At 38.0% G+C, this 21,500-nt stretch overlaps 1 protein-coding gene and 1 pseudogene across 14 annotated transcripts in view; one reads left to right on the plus strand and one right to left on the minus strand.

The window, feature by feature from the left end:
- Nucleotides 1-12,653, plus strand: part of CDIN1 (CDAN1 interacting nuclease 1) — a 230,619-nt gene extending 217,966 nt beyond the window's left edge. For 10 of the 13 annotated variants that reach the window (XM_047433174.1, NM_001321761.2, NM_001321759.2 and 7 more), the window contains one exon: nt 10,733-12,653. In XM_047433174.1, the coding sequence (XP_047289130.1) occupies nt 10,733-10,862 (130 nt within the window). In that variant the 3' untranslated portion in view covers nt 10,863-12,653. The remainder of the gene's footprint in view (nt 1-10,732) is intronic. The other 3 variants (NM_001321757.2, NM_001130010.3, XM_017022677.2) reach the window with 1 other exon arrangement.
- CSNK1A1P1 (casein kinase 1 alpha 1 pseudogene 1) lies at nt 1,509-20,915 on the minus strand (annotated as a pseudogene). Its single transcript, NR_027320.1, has 4 exons — nt 20,136-20,915; nt 19,586-19,697; nt 6,987-7,055; nt 1,509-2,237 (listed from the first exon to the last, which is right to left on the minus strand). The product of NR_027320.1 is annotated as a casein kinase 1 alpha 1 pseudogene 1 (transcript).
- Nucleotides 20,916-21,500: the final 585 nt, after the last annotated feature.

The raw sequence follows: 21,500 nt of genomic DNA on the forward strand, positions 1-21,500 counted from the left end.
GATTCCTACCAGCAATCCCAGCAATCTTGCAATTCGCTCTTCAGAAGTGTACAACTTGGACATATTTTTAAGGCTCATTTTCTTACCTTTAAAAATGACTTTCCGTGGCCAGGCATGGTGGCTCATGCCTGTAATCCCAGCACTTTGGGGGGCCGAGGCGGGCAGATCACCTGAGGTGAGGCGTTCAAGACGAGCCTTGCCAACATGGTGAAACCCCGTCTCTACTAAAAATACAAAAATTAGCTGGGCATGGTGGTGCATGCCTGTAGTCCCAGCTCCTCAGGAGACTGAGGCAGGAGAATCATTTGAACCTGGGAGGCGGAGGTTGCAGTGAGCCAAGATCACACCACTGCACTCCAGCCTGAGTGACAGAGCAAGACTCCATCTCAAAAAAAAAAAGACTTTCCTTCATTATATAGTAGAGAGTTATTAGCAAAAAAAAAAAAAAAAAAAAAATTATTTTCCAAATGAGTAGTAACACTGACATCTTCTTCTTCTAGGGCAAGGGACTGTAGAGTGATATTCATTTGTGTATTCATATATCCACTCAACAAATATGTATTGGCTGACTCCTATGTGCCACTGAAATACAAGCTGCCCTCATGAAGCTTACATTTTAAAAGAAGTGTTTGTTTGATAACTGCAAGGCCAGGTTATCCATAATTTTTGAAGACCCATTTTTAAAATCATTTTTCCTTATCTGATCATTTTTTCTAATGATCTAGACATTTCTAACTTCTAATTTATTTTTTTCCCCTTTCTGGCATTTGCCTTCATGAATCTGCAAAATTGGGATGTTTTGCTTTTGGGGACTAGGTTGGCTAGCCAAAGAGATTTTCCTTATCATTAAATATTTCTTGTGACTAAGAGAAAAATTTAACTGCCCATTTAGAGTGAGTTGGGATCTGACATACCAAAGCATTGTGTCACATTTGGTTAATGATAGATTTATAGGGCAAACATGTATCAGCCCTAATCCTTCAGTTATTTGACTTTGCCGAGGATGAAATTCCAATAATTTTTTATTTTAAGCAGACTTTTATATATCCAAAACCCATAAATCTCTTTGTTCCTTGAGATAAACATCTGACCGAACTCTGGGTTACCCTGTGATCCTTTGAGAACTATGCCAAGGAAAAAGAAACTCCATTCCCTCCATTAGCGAATAATTAAGGGCTACTTGAAAAAGACATATTTTGGGTACGCAAGATTTATGTAGTCTTTTCCATTTTATAATGTGGTTCTAATTTCTAATATTCAGAAAGTTAGTTAGAAATGGAAAGTTCAGAAATCACCTCAAAATTCATCAGAGCAAGTCTGATGGTTGATTAACTGGCAAACACCAAAATGGACTGCACCACTGTCAGCCAGGCCTTGCCAACTCCATGATCACTATCCATTATGGTTGTCATATCAATTATAAATTCTCTGGCATCAAACACTAAATCAGCTGAAATGATGGGTTTGCCTTTGGCGTGTTTCCCTGGGGAAATAACTGAGAAAACATGTAATAATTCACACGACCAATTTTGTTAAAACAAACACCCCCAACTTTTGGAAGAAGGCTGGGGTATAAATTCCAGATCGATGGACATGATTTGCACCCAGTGTCCACATGAAGTGTTCTCTCGTTTTAGTACTTAAGTAAGTAAGTGTTTTCAAAGTAAACATAACTTCGGGTACTTTGTTACTTTTAGGGTTTCTATGTCTTTTGCTATGTTTGCTGTCTCTCTCTTCCCATTTGAGAAGGTGTTCTGTCTTCTCCATGCATCCTGTTTGAAACAGAACCACAGCTATTGTCCTGAAACTCATCCTCCCGTTTCCCAGTGAAATCATCTCAATATACTTCTGACCCCATCATCCCTCTAAGTCTCTCGGGACCCCTAACCTCACCTTTCCCTCCCCTCAAAAATGGATGTATCATGGAGAAAGTTTAAAGGGCTGATGTGAATAAATACAACATAGTTAAATAGTTGCCTTTTCCAGGAAGACTTCTAGAATCATTGTCATTGCTCTAATTAGTCTGTTACTGTGAACCCTTTGGCATTTTGTTTATTCAAGTGATATAGTTTACTCTGAAAATGTGAAGAGATATTGATTACTATGTTAAGCAATTTATGGAGAGGAGCTTTTCTTCTGTGACTTGTGCTCTATGCAGGATGGATAGACAAGCTTGTATGTAGATTCTTATAGGTAAATGCAGAGGGGCTGACCCAATCCAGGAGTAAACATTTCTTCTAGAAAACAGAGAGTAAAGACAACAGATTAAAGACAAAATCACTTCTGCCTTTGTTTTCTATTGTAATCTTCTGAGAAAAGATTTACAACAGGCTAGAAAGATTATAAATATAGCATCTATCTATATCCAATATAGAACAAAGCAAAGTAGAAATTAACTACTTTTTCAGGTAATTTAACATGGATGTGAAAATATCAAGGTATATAATCACCATGGAGAATTTCAGAGTGTTGTGGTTGTATATTTATATACATTTAAATTTTTGTTCAAAATAACATTTTCTTTGTGGCATAAAGGCCCAAAGTGAATCAGTATTTATCATATGCTTTTACTTTTTTATTTTCAAAATTATAGAAAGTTGTTTCAAAGAGATAAAGTTGCACTTTTCATAGCCAACATGCATAGATTGAGTGAGAATACTCATAACTAGGTTCTCTTTCTTTGGTCATTTCAGTCTGCAAATACAGACCTGGCAAGGTAAGAAAAAGTAGATGAAACAACCAAGTTATCATATTTTAACTTCATTTCTACGAAAAAAGAATATTTGTATTGTATATTAAATTGACCATAGTGCCAGAACTTTATGATGTTATATTACATGATCACTAATCTATTATTATTGTACACGTATTTACACACAGGCATAAGTATACACATACTTTGCATATAAACATGTGCAAGCATATTTCACTTGGACTGAAAGGTTATTTACAACTCTGTCTGGATATACATACAACAGTGATTAACAAGTGCATAACCAATCTACAACACGTAGATTAAAACTAAATAAACAGTGTAAGAGTTTATTTTAAAACAATTACAAGATGTTTTATGTTTCTCCTTCATCGTGAACTATGTGTTTGAAAACGCACTCTTCATAAAAACCACATGCAAGTCTTTTTTTGATGGTGAAACAATCGACTTCCAACAGCCACATGTCTGCACACATCCTCAGAAGATAGCACAGACCCCACACAGCAACTCATAATAAGAGAAAAAGAAATATATATATGATTATGATTATACATATGTGTGTGTGTGTGTATATATGTGTGTGTGTGTGTGTGTGTGTGTGTGTGTATATATATATATATATATATATATATATATATATGATTCTCTGCTGTTCTTGTTTTAGAGAAGGAGTTTATTTCCCTATGATTGAAATAAAAAATTTGGGCTAGGAATGAAGGTTTCTGTATGTTTTTATTGTTTGATGAAGACCCTCATGAACAAGAAACTTAAAATTATCAGATCATTCCGTAGTCTACTTGTCATTCTTCAATTGAGAATTGTTTGTTTCATTGACTAGATGCAGATTTATATTGTAGGACTCTACTGCACTGAGAATCCTTGTTTATGCAATTATGGTAATTCAGCTCATTGGGAAGAAAAGTATTAGGTCAATTTCAGCAGTTTCCGTGATTACAGGTAGAGAGACAAATTATGTAATAGTACATAAATCCCACACCTTTCACCGTCTTATTACCAAAAGAGATGTAAAAGCATACTAGTTTAAAAAATATATGTAGTGGTTTTCTCATAGAGCTGAAAACATGGGTAAGCCAAGTTAATGGCACAAACATAAGATGCATCTGTATACTAGAGGTATTTTAGGAGCAAAACTGGGGCCTTTGGGGCATACTGTATCACCCTGTTTAACAAGTTCTGAACCTTCTTTTCTGGGAAAACAAATCTCTACCTCATACGTTCACTTAGACCCGTTGCTTCCCTCAGTTTTCCTCATAACTTATTCCAGCTGTTTATTTCCATTTATATGAACAAGCTGTGGCAGTGTTCTGGATTTACTCCTCTTCCCTCATGTTTAGATTCTGCCCCATAACTTCTGAACCCCTTCACAGCGTGAGACATTTCTCTTCTCTGAACTTTATGTAGTGATTCTGTAATTCTCATTCCCTAGCTTACTTCCACCTGTTTGTCAAAGGTTTAAAATATGCTCCCTCAAAAGTAATTATTTTCATTTCTTTTGCCAGAATTATGGGTTGCTTTTCCATCTACTTCCTAAATGTGGTGATACTTAAATTGAAATAAGTAGCCAGATAAACTTTTTAGCGTGAAACTATTGACATCAAACTTAGAGTTATTCCCTGTGTAGATAGGTGGATCCCAACTCATATACTGGGGTTTTGATCAGTTGCCTTGCTTCTGGACCCCTGCTTGCCTATCACCTATCCAGGTGTAGTAAATATTTTTCAGAGTCAAATGACTGTTATAGAATGCTATATAAACACAAGGTATAATGAGACAGTAAAGCATAGTAGTTACAAGGGTAAGCCATAGAGCCAGGCGGCTTGGGTTCGAAACCTGGCCCTTTTTGGGCCCCAGTTTCTTCATCTGTAAAATGAGGATAGTCATAGTGCCCTCCTCATAGGGTGGCAGTGAGTACCAAATTAGTCTGTACATGTAAAAGTTCTTGAAACACTGCCTGCTCAGTAAATATTAGTTACCTCTTTGTTGTTGATTATTGAGATCTTATATTATTTTATATGTACTTAGCATCTTTATAGACATAATGATTGGTCAAGGGCTCCCTGAAATCTGTGGAGATCTAGAAGCTCAGCTGGCTTCAGGAAACCAACGAGGGGTTATTGGGGTTAATTTAGCAAGATGATATCTAATAGTATGATTCGAAACCTCTAAATTCCTTCATCTGCCTTTCTTTTCAACAGTCTCTGAAGAGGATGCCTTGAGGAAAAGTATAACAATAGGAAGTTAATAATCTTCTCCATTCTCCATAAGTAAAGATGCCTCATCCTAGTAATTCCTGAATTATAGGATAGTGTTAGAGGCGTGGCAAGGAAAGGGGAGTATTTAGTTTTATACTTTAAAAAAAAAGAGTAAGCAAGTTCTTCCTGAATTTGGGGAGCCAAATTTTCTGTCTGAACCACTGAGTTTCTCAGAGAGTTACAGGAAACCTTGAACAGAAAGATACTTATATCATATTCTGTCCAACATTCGCAATCTGGAATCCTCAGGGCTTATCTGAGGATAGCTAGATTTTTCTCCAAAACTAAGAATTTACTCACTGAAGTACCATTTTTAAAACATTCTTGGTGATAATCTTTTAAAAATACATTAACAGCTTTCACTGCCTTTTTTAAAACTGAACAAAATGTAAGCAGCATTTGTGTTTCCTGCACTGTCCTCAACACCTGTTGAGATCGACAAAGCCTGCTAGCCCCAACACCAAACAGCCAGGGACTCTCACAGTTGGGGCATTTTTATGTCTCTCTTCACTGCTTGCCAGCAGGAATTCACCTTGACTGACAAAGTGTTCTCCCTGTAACCAACTCCTTCAAATATGCAGCTTCAGGAACCCAATAACCAAGTTTACCAAAACAATAGAACTGGAGAAAATATGGAGAATTCTTTATTTTATGTAACCTTAGCATCCTAGATATGCAGCAAGGAGGAGTATTGCTGTATAGTGCAAGTTAGGAGCTAAGAAGCTCAGTTGGTATACCTGGCACTGATCCTCGGCATCAGAAAGTGACAGAGAACAGTGGGGACTGTGGCAGTCCCGCGAACCTAGGTTATATCTGAAGGGGGCAGCTGTTACTTATCTTCAGTTGCTTGTTGCCAGATTGATTAGTTTCTCAAAAAAAGCTAAATATGCAGGATTTTGTGTAAACATTCCCAATTTGTATGCATTGGTTCAATTTTTTAAAATTAATGAAAGCCCAGCCTTGATTTAACAGATCTACTGATGTCACTATTTTGCAAGGCCGCTCACTCCATGTTTTTGAAAGTTTCAGTTATACAAAAAATTTTATTTGTGTGGAATCAAAATCTAATTCTTGGCTACTTTCAAGCATTGTCCTAAGTCTGCACTTGAGAGCTACAGCACGAATCAAATCCTTCCTCCATAAGAGCACTCTCAAAATCAGAACATGATGAGTGTGTTAGTGAACCTTGACTGTTCATTTCTAAATCAGACATACTCTTATTCTAACCATTCCTCAAATATCCTAGGATTCTCCTTTGGTTGACTTTCAAACTGGAGACATGCCCTTAAAATATGACACCAGAACTCTCCAAAATGCCCTAGGTGTGGCTTAACCATTGCAAAGGACATTGACTCTCTTTTTCTGGTTAAAGTCTAACATTCTATCACCCTGTTTAGTAAACCGATCACTACCTCATAGTGAGTGCATCACAAACTGCCTTGGTTCTAAAACTGGTTCCTCCACTTTTTAGCTGTGAGACCTTAGGCAATCTACTTAATTGTTCTATGCCTTGGTTTTTTTACTTGTAGAACAGGGATAATAATTGTACCAACCTCATGGAGTTGGCATACAAATTAAGTGGTTCGATATATATAAAGTGCTTCTATATATATTAAAGTGCTTAGAACAGTGTTGGGCACATAGTAAGTGGGGTGAAAGTGTTAATAATGAACATTGTTGTAACTATATTATTTTCACTATAACCTGTAAGTATGCCACTAGTGTGCTCACTCTGGTCATTAATAAAATTGCCATGCCGAGGCAATGGCTGACCCCTGCCTGCACCCCTGTCTCTAGACTCGCACTGATTCAATAACCAATGCAAAGCTGTCTGATCATCTTAGTGCTAACCCTGTATTGCCCATCTTGTCCTTGAGGGTATCTTTCATGTACCAGGCACTGTGTTAGGCATGGAGGTCATGAATACAAATAAAACCTGGTCTTTACCCTCAACAGGGTCCCAATATAACAGACAAATGGTGAAACAGAGGGATACTCACTAGGAAACAGGTATGCACAGAAGGGCCAGCTTTAGTTCCATCGTCTCTGATTGAATTTCTCTAAATACCCTAAAATGAAATGAAACCAGAGAATCACTTTTTTTTTTTTTTTTTTTTCAGAGTCTTGCTCTGTCACCCAGGCTGGAGTGCAGTAGTGCAGTCTCAGCTCACTGCAACCTCCGTCTCCTGGGTTCAAGAGATTCTCCCACCACAGCCTCTAGAGTAGCTAGGACTACAGGCGAGCACCACCACGCCTGGCTAATTTTTTTATATCTTTAGTGGAGACGGGGTTTCACCATGTTGGCCAGGCTGGTCTCAAACTCCTGACCTCAAGTGATTGGCCTGCCTCAGCCTCCCAAAGTGCTGGGATTACAGGTGTGAGTCACTGTCCCCAGCCGAGAAACACATTTTGAACATATTTATAAGGGGTCATTACTTATGAAAAACCTCATCTTTCTTGCCTTCATGGTCTGTGATGGCTCTTGGCTTTCACCTCCCATTTTTTCAAGGCGTATTTGTTGTTTTTGCTAATTTGGTGATATTTTATTTGCAAGCAAAATTACTTATTCAAACGTCATTCACATTCTAGTCGCTGCTTCCCAGGAGTCTTTAAAATCCATTGGGGGTCTTGGATCTTATTACTTGACCATGAGTATAGCAACCATAAAATTATAGTCAACTTTAAAAAGTGTTTCCAGAATCAATTCAGATGTCCGTGGACACCCATTCCTGAGGGTCTCCCAGCTGGCAGGGAGGGCTGCAATCTCAGTAGCAGACCAACCTCTGCTGTGCATATCTCCTCAGACCCAAGGACTCTCTTTTCTTTTCAATGTTGTTAACAAAGTCTCTTTGATTTTTATTGGTCACAAAGGTTGTATTTGCCTTCCCAGTGATCTCATTTTTGTCTAGTGGTGCCACAGTAAATAAGAATAGGCATCAAAAAGAGGAAATGGTTCAACCCAAAAGTCTGCATTTGACCTAAATAAAAATTTTCTAGGGTCCTATTTTACACCTCTTCTACCATTTTTGATTGCTTGATATTTCAAATTAGCAACCAAAACTTCCCCTCCTGTTACTTCAGATAACCCAGAAATTGATTATATAAAGTTGCTTAATGTGGTCAGCCTCTTCATAAACAGGTAGGTTGCTGAAAGATTATCTCGTCAGCATCTGATAATCTCTGGATCCTGAGCTGTTGAAGAAGGCTCAGAAATGCACTAAAGTAGGTGCTGGGAATAAGGCCAGATCTTGTTCTGCCATTAAATTTCCAAACTTGTCACCCTCTAAAGTCCTTACTGCTTTTGTCACCCAAAGACCACATAATTTGAAAGCGTATCAATCTCTATTTACAAAGGGACATTGTGTTTCCTCATTCTTAATTAATTAGAGACATATTGTCAATCAGAGGTTTTGAGCTACATTGACAGAGGTAATGTTACCTAACCTAAACATAGTTCCATAAGAAACACAAAACTTAGGTAGACAGTAGAGTCTTATTAATGAATCCTACTCAAAATGTTCATAGATCTGTGTTGGTATCTTTAGGGAATCCTGGTTGTGAACCACTGCATGAAATGTTCAGGTTCACAATCTTGCAAAACCTTTTTGAGTTGCAGGAATATCTGTTGCCTCACAAGTGAAACAAGTCCATTTTCTTGAGCACTGAGGTGTTCCCCAGCCTGGCTTTTCTGCCTAGAAAATGCCATTTTCGTAAAGAGCTGTCATGCTTCGTGTCCTTTGGCTTATGATTTAGCTGTTCAAAGAAAGTGCAGGCTGCTCTCACTTGCTCAGTGCTGGTGATATGTGTTTTTGTTTATTAAATCTTTAAAATACTGGGCTTGTTTTTTATGACCTCCATATATTCTTTTGTTCTTCTCTGTGACTTGTTAGATCACAGTTTTTTTCTTCCTTTGTGAAAATATTAGCACCTTTCTGAAGAACATCATGGTCTCCAGAATGGCTGTATAATAAAATGGAAGAATGTGTTGAGCTTAATGTTAGATCTGTCAAGGCCGTGACTCAGGGGTGCTTCACTGATGGGAAGGTTTGTGGCTTCTCAGACATGGTCCACAGAATCACAAATCTTTCTGTTCTTGCCAGACTTGTTTTGACAAATCTGAGATCATTTGACACTAATCATAGAGCTCTTTGTAAAATAAAGGTACCAATGGTTTATGTTCCAATTACAGACAAGTGTTTGTGATTAAAAGTTACTAAGAAACCCTCGGTTAAATGGAAGCAAGTTCTTCTGCAGGTGTGAGCTTCGTCTTGTATGCATTTGAGCCTGGGGACCCACACACCTGTGCACAGGTAGCCTAATTCTACTGACCCCAAAGGAATCTCTTCTTTGGGGATGCTGAGGAAGAAGAGAACATCTGCAGCTGATAAATCTCAGTGGGCCTGGTGCTCCAAGGCTTCTAATTATACCCAGTTCCTACATCTTCTAGAACAAGATCAAGTGATGAGCTGCCATCTCATGGTTCTGTACCTGCACAGAGGGGAATCCCAAAGTTTTAAATAATCTTGAATACAACTTGGCTACCCCACTAATGTGGATCCCCAAATAAACCAGGCCGTGACATCCAATTGAACTTGTCCCTGTGCATACAGTATCTCGCAGCCCATCCTGTATTGTTAGTTTTGGCAAGTACACTACAGCATATAATAAATCATGGAAGGCAAAAGCTTTTTGGCCTAGCATGGTTCAGCCTGCTGTAATGTTAGAATACAGAAAGCAGTTCTGTTTTTAGACATGCTTTTACTAACCCAACATTCATAATTTATTATTTCACTGTAAAATTCCTGCAACACTACACCAAAAGTAGTGCTGCCCTTTAATTAAGTGCCCTCGGTAGGAAAAACGTGAAACTGATGTGCAAAACATCTCTCTGTGTGCAGTGATTGATAGTGATTACATCTTTATGAACCCAGCCTAAAGGTCTCAACTTCCTGATGGGTGAAGTAGTCCATAGGGCCACTTCCTGAGTCTGCCTGGCGGGGATCAGTCACTGCTAACAAAATTGCAGATAATTCAGAGGGCACAACTTAGAAATGCTGAGGTTTTATTAAGCCCGTAGCGATCTATACTTTGTCACAAGCCTATATGACCTTATTCCTCATTTCCGTAAGCACCAATGACCAAACTTTATGCTGTGTCCACACTTAAAGAAGTTGTAATGCAGAGAGTAAAGGGACCCAGTGTGTCATATGGATGACAGGAGGTACTTCCAGCCCAATGGGTGCATAAGTAGAACAGTATAGCCAGAAGAGGACCATAAGTTGTTGCATTTTTTTAAATTCTGTTTTCAAACATTCTTTTATTTTTCTTAGTTGCTATTAGGCAAGTTTAATTTTTTAAATAGTACCATTAAATGTTAGACTTAAATCCCAAGGCTGGCATTCCCCAGCTCATTCCTGTTTGCACTGTGAATCTGTCCTCCATCAGCTAGGTAGTCACATCAGCCCAAGCTCATAACACCTTACTGAAAGGTAAGATTCAGAGTTTCCATATCTGAAATACTTCAGGTTTCTGGAAAGAAAGGGAACACATCCATCCGAGAAGGTAGTATGTGTGTTATGTGAACTCTTTGGTATAAGTTTGGCTATTTTCAGTCACAATGGTAGCAACCAAAACAAAAATTTTGTGCAGTCCTGTCATTTAATCATCTTATCAGTGCCCCAAGGTGACTTTTTTCAAGAGCTCTGTTGATACCATGTGTGTGTGTTATTTTCTGGTGTTTTTACAGATTTGGGCCAGGCTTAGTCATCTATTGGTATGGATTTATCCAGGAGCTGGACTGCAACCGGGAAAGGGGCATCCTGCTCAAAGCCTGTTTCCCCACGAACATTGTCACCTTATGCCACAGCATAGCTTGACCCTGAAGATCCTGGAAGAGAAGCTGGGAGGAAAAGGTGAATCCGGAAGCAATTTTACTTTCCTGCACTGTAAGATCCTGGCAACATCTGCCCTGAACTTCAGCTGAACTCTTGCTGCCCGTAGTCACACCACTACCTCTTTAGACAAACATATCAAGAGTTTCTGTTTTCCTTCATCCCTTGCTGATGTGAACAGCCAAGAACTACAGACACAACCCACTCATTATCAGCATTTCTGTCTCTGTCAAACAATTAGTTTATAGATAGTCATAATCTTTCTTTCTTCCGGATGGTTTATCCTTGTATGCTGAACAAAAGAAAAAATGTGAAGACTGAAAGGTGTGATTTTTCAATTCTCCTCCCAGTTACCGAATCACCCTCTTATTTTTTTTTCCCTAAGCCTCCGTTCACTGTCTCTCCCTCTCCCTTTCTCTTCATGTGCACTCACAGAGACCCAGCATTGCATTACCATCGTGGAATAATCTAGCGCAAACCTAGGAAAGCTGAAGCCACAAAGTCCAAAGCCACCTTTGTACTCACCTGCAGAGCTCCAGAAGACCTTGATGGCAGCCTGCCTATGCTGTGTGTTTGCTATATTCAATCTTTACGGCTTCCTGACTTCTGTGACAGTAAGCCAAGTGCAAAAATACACTTGATGAGAATTTCCTCTTTTAATAATGTTATTTGAACACCACATATTTTAGATTTATCTTATTTGAAAGTATTAGTTCCATTGTGCCTGGAAACCACACTCCTTTAGATTGGGGGCCGAGAGGCGACAACCCAACATTGAGGAGAGTTTATTTTTAAACATGGCTAGTTGTCAGTATGTACGTGAGCTAGTATTTTTATGAGTCGAGTTTTTTAAAGGCACATTCTGTATACTGCTTAGTATATGCATTTTATACCATGTAATTATAAAACACTCGAGTAAGTTCAGCATTAGAAATGTTTAGCTTTGTATGAACTGAGTGTGCCAGAAATAAACCTGGAGCAATTTTTAAATAAGCAAAATAAAGGAGATTTTTCTATTTGTTCACTTTAATTTATTCACTTTTGTGTACTTTTATGTACTGCAAATCAGATTTCAGTCTAAAGCGAAACATCAGTAAGTTAATAATAAACCTATCTTTTGGGAAGTTGAATATTAATCTGTACCCAAAACGTATTTAGTAAAATATTTGCCCCCGCCACCCTGCCATGCTGACATAACAACTTTTATAATGTTGAATAGATGATATGGGAAATACTAATAACAACAATGTAATTTTTGCAGACAGCTTTAACTTATATACATTGCTTGATTTTTTTCAAAAGACTAAATATGTCATTTATACTTTGTTTATTTTCTACCAAAGAAGGTTTGTAAAAATATGCCTGCTGCTTTTCCTTTTGAAGGACACAAACCTGGTCCCAACATGTGTGGATTTTAACTCTGAGTGGGGTGCATTAAATCAAAAGAGAGAGGCAGAAGATGAAATGCTAAAGAAGGGTCAGGCAAACTTCTGTTTCAGTATAAAATTCATCATGCAGGCTTCTGAGTGAAATAGAATGATTTGAAACCACTACTGTATTGCCTGGATACACACACACACACACACACACACTTTATACAAAAATGTTAAAAGCAGGTTTCCTGGCATGTTCTAAACTGTTTTTTCTTTAGGAATAAATTACATTTATCTGCACAGATGTTGAAAATCCTGTTAAACCCTTGTCAAGGATTTGTTTATTTTACATTAAACAAATTTATTATGATGAACGTGAACAAATAAATTAAAAAATAAAAAAGGTACTTGCGTTTTGTATTTATTCTTTTACCTGCTGCCCTGACATAATGTGTTGTGAGAAGGTATTGGTGTTCCTAGCAAAGGCACTACCTCCTCTTTATGAATGAGGCTTTAAAATCTGGCCCTTAAAAGTGAGAAAGAACCCAACAGTAAACTGTACACACTACAATAAGGTTACAAATTAGTCAAAAGTAAGTTTTTCACACATAAAAACTAATGTGATAATTATACTACTTTTGAATTGGAGCTGTATGGGAGAGAAGAGAGTAATGTTCCCAACTGGAAGCTTAAAGTCTCCTTGGTTTGTTTCTTTTTCTGTTAAAAATACTTGTCTGTGTTCCATCTCTATGCATTGTCTGCTTGCTGGTTTTTTTAGTTTAGACAATATAAACATCAGCCCCAGAAAGTAGACACGGAATGACAACTTATTTTTATTGCTGTCATCATTAGAACATTAACATTAAAGCCAAATCTTGTTTTATGGTGCATTCTGCACACTATGCTAATGAATTATGCAAAGCCAGAAAGCAGGAGCGTGTGTAAAACGTAAAACTGAATGACGTTCTCCCTGGCATATGCAGACTTGCCAAGCATCTGCCCTCACAAACACATAGGCGACCATTTGAAGTCTGGAAACAGATCAACTCAAAGCAAAGCTGATCCGGTACTGATCTGTAAGGCGACTGCATAGACTCCTTCCCACCTCACATCTGTACCCCCTCAAAAAAGAAACAAACCATAAACAGTTGCATATCCTCTTTTTTTCTTTTGCCTTCTAGTGAAGCATACGTCAGCTCTTTACAACACTCCTAAAATCTAAAATAAAAGGGAAGTCTCAGGGGTCTAAAGTAGAACGCTGGACCTCCAGGGGAAATAATTTTCTTGTAACTGTAGGTGTGTGTACCTGTTCATTATCTGCAAGGCTTGATTCCCCCTGGAAAAGATGATAAATTGTTGGTCTTGAGGGGGTGCATTAACTCACTCAGGCCGCCAGGGGACTGCTTAGAGCCCTGATGAGGTAATCTACCTAAATGGTCCCTGGTGGGCCACACTAATTAATGCTGAAGTGAACAGTTAATTCACTTGCTTCTCACTGGGGAGCTACACCCATTGCTTTCTTTTCTCTTTGGAACCAAGATGCCTTAGATGTCTCCTCTTTTTAACTGTTCCCATCTAGAGACCTGGTATCTCAATTGCAATAAATCCTTACTGCTTCCATATGCTTTCTCACTTCACTTTTCACTTTTTCCATGTCATCTTCCCCTGCGTTGGCCTTTGCCAGTTTCCCTCCACATGGACATGTACCCTGCATTTTCTCATTACTCTTGGGCTCTTTTTCTCTCTAAAAGATCAGGATCCCAGGACCAAAATATGTCCTGATGCATACACCTGGTTGGGGAGTGGGGAGCAATTGGCCTAACCTCTTTGGGGAGAAACACAACTTAAGCACCCTCCACATGCCCAAATACTCAAGTGCATATGTGGCACCAGAAGGATCGTAAAACTTTTAACTAAGATAATAAGATTTTACAGGGTTAAATATGGCTTGAAGTTCATGCCTTCAGTAAATGATTTGGCAAAAGGAGCAAAAAGAGAAAAAAAAAGTAAGGTTATATAGCTACTTTCAGCCTGAGTGGTGGTGTTCAGCTGATTAAAATAGCAAAATGTCTGTATGATTTAGCGAATCACTCCTAGCTCATTCATCTTGGGGGTAGCTTGCCATTTTCATGTGATCTGATGGGAGCAAGTTGTCTCAAAGTATAACTATTTTGTGACAAGATGAGAGGAGAAAATCTCAATAGGCACATTCTTGATTAGGGTTAAGGAACAAAGCAAGCTTAACTTGAGAGGAAACTAAAAGGCAAACAATAGAAGTTTGCCTGCAATGTCACCATTTATGGGAAGCGTCTATCTGAACCTGTCTGTGTAAAGTCACTCGTGGGTTATGGAAGGGTCATGTGTTTGGATCATTTAATCTTGTTACTCTAAACTAACCTTCCTACATTTAGTAAACATGATCTGAACCTGTTTTATTAAGAACATGCTTGGATTCCAAAGATTAAATAAGGAAGATGGAATTATGAATTAAATAATAACCTGAACAACTTGGGTTCGCCTTCTGTTTTTCACTTTCCTGCTATTGTTTTGAATATGGCTGTGAGACAAAGAGCTGCTTAGGTCAAGCGCTATAAATTACAGTTTTCATACAATAGTAATCCACTAAAATGATTTCAAAGCCTGATCAAAGTACTTCAAAAAGACTTTTAAAACATTTCCACAGTACAGGGGAAGGGAAATGCTCATTTGGTGCCTTAATTTGTTTCACTTAGTATAGCAAAGTTCGATCTGGGTGTCATACTCACTTTATATAAAATCCAACTCATTGTTTAAATAAATCCAACTTGTTCTTGTTGTTTAATGTATAGGTAAAGGAGATTTAAGTTTTCATCTCCTTAACAAGAACAGCTGAATATTTGGAGTCACTTGTAAGGAAAAGATAATATAGGAACATTTTAAAATAAGCATACCTTGATAGTATTTAATTGTGATACTCGAGGTATTCGTTAAAACTGTCTAACTCCCTGCAATTAGGATAAAGTGGTGAGGATCTCAGTGGATTTATTTGGCATCTTAATAATAATCATGGCAACAGATATATTTATTTTTTCATCCCTTTTCCCTCATCACTTGGATTTATCCTAAGCTGTCTCATTTTATAGGCAAGGATAATGGGAAGTACACTAGTGATAGCAAAGCTAAGCAAATTCTAGGCTCAACCATATATAAAGATACTGTGGGCTGCAGCAACAATGTCAGGCTCAACTAAAGACTCATGGTATTATGTCAGGGTAATTTTTACTTTTTAAAAGGAAGGTCATATTGAAATGCTGACATGAAATATAACCAAGTCAATTAAGTAATAACAATTGAAGTTCAGAGTTTAATTGAGGGCTGAACATGAATCCAATGACCATTAACCTAAAGTGGTCATTAATTCCCCTGGAAACTGCCTTGGTTAAAGGTATTTCTACAATAACTAGCACTTTTTTTTTCAAAAAAAAAAAAAAAAAACCCTTGTCATTTTAACATTAAACACTAATTCAGAAATAACATTCAGGAATAACAATTCAGTGGATCTATAGTAAACCTTCTGTATTTTACATTTTTAATTGAATTTCTTCTATAGGACAAATCAAAATTTAGATAAAAAGATAAAACCACCTCTGCAGGAAACCATAGTTTTGTTAAGTAAACAAAGTTATAAGCACCCTTTATTTGATTGCTTTTGTTTTATCTCAGTTGTGATTTCTGTACTTGTTTAATGCAAGATTTCCGACTAGACTGTAAGCTCCATGAAAGTAGAAACTACACTAACTTTGTTCACTTTAGTCCCTAATGCCTAACAGAATTCTGGTGCAGACAGAGCAGGTATTCAATAAATGTTAAATGAGTAAATGAATGACACGGTTTTATTAAATATGTTATCACTCGCATTAGCAAATAATTAGAACCTTTATCTTTCTCATTTTCTTCATCTGAAAAATGAGTGTATTTACCAAAAATCAGAGAAAATCATCATGTGTTGATGTTAAAGAATTAATTAATTTAGAAACTCCCCAAAATGTGAAATAAATCAAATTCATCAACAAGAGTGTTTTAGGATGCACACTTAGTTTTAAGGGGGGAATTTACATAACTTTTTGTTGCATTTGCCTTAAAGTTAATCTTAATACATTATTGTTTATGCACTGTTGCTAAATGAGAATATTAAAAATCTTTATTTCTCTTTTAAAAGAAATGGCTTATCTTTATATTTCCATTAAAAAAAAAAAACTTTCTCCTCAAATCACGGCAGGGTCCCAAATCAACTGTGTTTCACAAGCAGATTTTGGAATATTCAATGGAGTTATTAGATTAACTGCAAATGATACTTTTAATTGCTCCCTTTTATAATGCTGAGTTGATGGCAAAGTGCTTCCTGGCCATAGAAGTGTTGGCTGGCTCAAGAGAGAAGGGTTATTTGGTCATTTGCCAATAGGATCTGACCTTTGGAGAGATACTGCCCATGAACCGCTCAGTGGGTGTTTCCTTGTTACTCATTAATTCAGAGTATATTATTATTTGAAAGCCAAACGCATTTGGCATATTTCCTCATAATTTGGAAACTTGTAGCACAAAAGGAACTGGAACTTCCACATTTCTTCTTTTTCTGCCAGTTTCCCAGGACTTAATTTGTTGGGGCTCTTTACTTTGTTATTCCTTCCATGAGCTTCTGGACAGAACAGACCCCCAGTACAGATATCACTAAGACCAGGTCTTTGGTTGCAGGTGATAATTCTGTCTTATATTTCCAGCATTAAAACTATTTAAGACACAGATATTTATTGAGTCCCTAATGTGTATTAGAAGTATGTGAGGTGCTGTGGGGAATTTTTTTAATGCAACAAAAGATCCTCTTCTTGAAGAAAAATAAATCATTACCTCTTCAAAATGAAAACAACACAAAATATTTGGAAATTTTAGAAAAGCAAATCACATGAAGGAAAGAGGGAAATCTATGAGGTTTTTAATAAGATATTTTAACCCTAGACTATGGACAGCAAGTAGCTTTCTATTTGCTTATGGTGGCTGCATTCACTGCTATTAAGCAATTCCAAGGCCAAGTTCAGCTTAGCAGCTAAGGCTTTGATCTAGTTCTTAGAGTAGGCAGTGATCACAGGGATGCCACATATTTTCCATTCCTGCTCTGGGCCATTCATGTTCAGTGCAAGTATAAATAAATTCTAAGCATTTGAAACAGAATTCATACCTGTTCATCGGCCTAAGTAATAAAACAAGCAATAACTTGTTCTGATAGTTCTATAACATCAAGCAAAGTGTCTGTCCATGGCTAAGGTCTGTCTAGTAATACAGATAAGCTAAATATGTCATTGAAATCATAGAAATATGATTTTAAGCCTCAAGATAAACACTAGATGGGCGCAGATAATTATTATTTTCAGTAAATGTCTACAAGTTCAATTATATTATTAATGAAAAACGTTAGGCCTGTATATTTTGGCCCTGCACAAAGACCTTGAAATTCGCAGATTATATTAGTAAATTTTACACATTTCTAGCTTTGGAGATTTTTTTTCTTTTTTTTTTTTTTCTTTTTTTTGCGGGGTTGGGGTGGTTTTTTTTTTTCTCCCACTCAAACCAGGCTAGGAATTCAAGGTGAGTTAAACACTCTGCCTCCTTTATCTTTCATGGCCTTTATATCATCTGGGTATCAATTTTCTGCTTAGTACAGTGCATTTTTATAAGGTAGTGATTGTATATAATAGTGGTTTGAAAATATGTTCCCAAAAAGAAGTGTAAAATATTTTCAAGGACAGAGAAGATTGTATGCTTTACATGGTAAGACAATTTTGTTAATATATTTACCATTAAGCTATAAATACTTTTGCCAGAACCTTTTAATTGTATCAGTTCATTAATTCTGGCAGCTAAAATAATGACAATCATTGCACATGGAAAATTAGGTAAAAATCTAAAAGTATTATATTTTGTACTAATTTGAATAGAAGAATCCATCTTGGTTTCAGAGTTACAATTTTTAAAAAATAAAATTTTCAATAAATGAAAAAATAGCAGTGCAACCTAACAGAGGATAATAGAAAAGCAGAACAATGAAAGATGGCAAAGTGGCCATGAGCACATTGCATAATGATGTAAAACTCAGTCTTTTGGTAAATTACTTTCGTCTTTCTTACTTCCCCATTATCCTTGAAAATATTTCCCAATGACAAATGAGTTAAAAATGGCAAAATGGGTGCATAGAATGAGCCAAGAAACTCATGTGAAAATCGAATTACATTTTCAGTTTATTTCTTGACAATTCCCTGAAAGATACTAATTGCATCTTTGAGCCATTAGCGAAGGTGAGTTTGACTCACAGACTCAATTTTATCAAAAAATTGGGAGATTTTATTTAATAGGGAGTCAGCAAGGCATTTTTTTTTGTTTAAAAAAAACTCATCTTCCTACAGAAACAGTTTTTAGTTTTTAATGAACTTAAAAACAGAAAAGCTACCATTTCAAAATAAAAACAAGATCCCCAATCATATAGATGTTTACAGTGATAATATTTATCTAAGCAACATACATACATGTTCAGTTGTAAGATGTTAACTAAATTTCTGTGACAAGCTTTTAAGAAAAACACTAAGAACATTATAAAGTTAATGCAGAGTCCTAAGTATAATCTAGTAGTCACTAAGTTTTTCTTAAGTCTTCACTTTAGATGCTATTATTTCTAGCACAAGTAAGCAGGCAGTCTTTCATGTGCTCCAACATTGGAATCTTTGGTTGCTACCCTACCAGCTGGTTTGCAAACAACAAGCCAACAACTTTAAGAACGTTTTACGTGAACAACTTGCAAACCCAAGAGATGGAAAAACCCTAAGAATGCACAATTGTGAGCATTTATAACCATCAAAACTGGCTGAAGACGGTTCACGACATTCTTCCGAGATGAGATCTCAAAGCAGTATAGTTCAAAACAAAAGGTTTTAACAGAAAATTGGCATATGCATAATTTCTCCACCAATTTGTGTGTGTCAACCATTTAGTAAACTTTTTCACTTGAAAAAAAATGCACTAGAAACCCGGCCACCATGTTTCACTGTCTCAGTTAATATTCACAATTACAGTAGCCACAGCTCAGGATACAGCATCACCAATGCTACCCAGAGTCAGTTTATACTAAAATTAAGTTCTTTACACCAAGTAAATGGCTGTCCATGACCACTGGCTAATGTACACATGAACTAAAATTTCTAGATTTGGGGAGAAACAAATGCTGCTCTGATCATCTGCTCTGCTGCTTCTGTTCCTCAATTCATGCTTAGAAACCTTTCATGTTACCCTTGGTTTTGTCAGGTTGCTTACCTGTTGGGGTTTGGGCCTGCTGCCCCTCCCACTAGAAGAGGCTGCCTGCTGTGCTGCTTTCTGCTTTAACTTTGTCCAATCAAATGTGTAGTCATATTGATGGATCAGGGTCCTGAAAAGAATGCAGAATAGCTGCGTCAGATACATGTAATCTGGGGCTTTCTCTAAGTGTAGCCCACGACAAGGGTTTAAGTATATGGCAAATTCTGCAGCAAACCCCTTACAAAAAACAGGAGTAGACATCTTCTTTTCACTAATCTTTTCATATTTTTGTTTCTCTGCTGCAGCCTTTAGCCCTTGCCATGGCAGGCTGGTTGGCTGGTTCTATTAAAATACATCAAAACATATTCTAACGATTCCATGTCATCCCGGCGACTCTGCTCAATACTAAGATGTGCATGGCTAGCATACAGGGCAGTGCCAGTGAGGTTTTTATCTTCTCTGTATGGTATGTGTTGCCTTGTCCTGTTGTCTCCGTACGTTTTGGCCAAACCAAAATCAATACGGAATAACTTACTACAGTGACGCCCAATACCCATTAGGAAGTTACCTGGTTTAATGGCTCTGTGTATAAAATTCTTTGTATGCACATGTTCAATTCTACTGATCATCTGGTCAGCTAATATAAGTACAGTTTTCATTGTGAACCTTCTTGAACAGAAATTGGTCTTCGAGGCTAGGTCCCAGAAAAATCCATGACTAGTACATTATAGTCTTCTTCCTGACCACACCACCGTATGTGGGGGATGCCAACCCCACCTTGAAGCATCTTGTAAAGCCTGCTCTTGTACAGCAACTGGGGATGCCTGGCCCTGAGATTCTGGCTTCACTACCACTTCTTCACCGTTGGTGATGCTGATCGCCAGACAGATGTCTCCGAAGGAGCTACACCAGATCTTCCAAAGCAGTTTATATTTCCTTCCGACAATGAATTCTGCTGCTAGCCGTCCTGAGAGACGAAGATGGAGGCTGGGCCAAGCCTACCGTGGAAGGCGGCAGGAAGCGGAACACGGAGGCCTTTCCCGGCGTCCAGGGCCCAGATGCCGGCGAAGGGAACTTGATGCCCGCTGCTCGGTCAGGATTCTTTGTTTGTTTTTTGGTTGGTTGCCTGCCAGGCCGCAGTTTGTGAAGGGCTTCTAGCGGTTACCAGGCTGGGCCACCTGTTCTGGGCAGCCGCCGCTGCCTCGCTTTCGCGGCGACGTCCGGGCTGGAAAAGGGGCGCAGTGAGCTGGGGAGCGGTACCGCTGCCACCACTGCCGTCGGCTCCGGCCCAGAGGGACCCCTGTCACTCCGCCGACGACGCCATCTTGTTACTCCAGCTCCAGCCAACACAAAATGCCCCCAGTACCCGGGAGTCGCTTCTTCACGGCGCAGAGCATTCTGGGAAAGGGACCTCCGGCGCTTGCTCCAAAGGATCCGCCTCATCGACTCAGAATTTGAGAATTGGAAGGCGCCAGAGGCTTCAGTTTACAGATGCGAACATTGAAATCTGGAGAGGGCAGGTGACTTGTCCAGGGTCACATAGCTAATAGGAGGCAGGACCAGAATCTACACCCCCTAACTTCCTGTCCACTGTCCTTTCCTTCATAGGGTAAATATTTTACTCCAAGGAATTTCCAATCCCATAAGTTATGTTGACTATTTACAAAGTAAAGGGTCCTGGTATATTTTTAATGAACATTCTGAACCTTACTGTTTTGGTCCTGCCCAGTTCTCTTCATGGTGGAAATCAGCTAAGCATTTTGACAGAAACAGTTTTCATTTTGTCAGTACTTTACTATCCTAAAATCCTTAGCGTTTGATGACAGTCATTTTCTACACATTGCCATGAGCCTAAGGATGCGCCACTAAGAATGAATTTGGAAGGACTGAAGACAATGTTTTCCTTTGGTCAATTTTTATATTGACTTTTCTT

The sequence above is a fragment of the Homo sapiens genome, chromosome 15, assembly GCF_000001405.40.
Source record: "Homo sapiens chromosome 15, GRCh38.p14 Primary Assembly".
Classification (NCBI taxonomy): domain Eukaryota; kingdom Metazoa; phylum Chordata; class Mammalia; order Primates; family Hominidae; genus Homo; species Homo sapiens.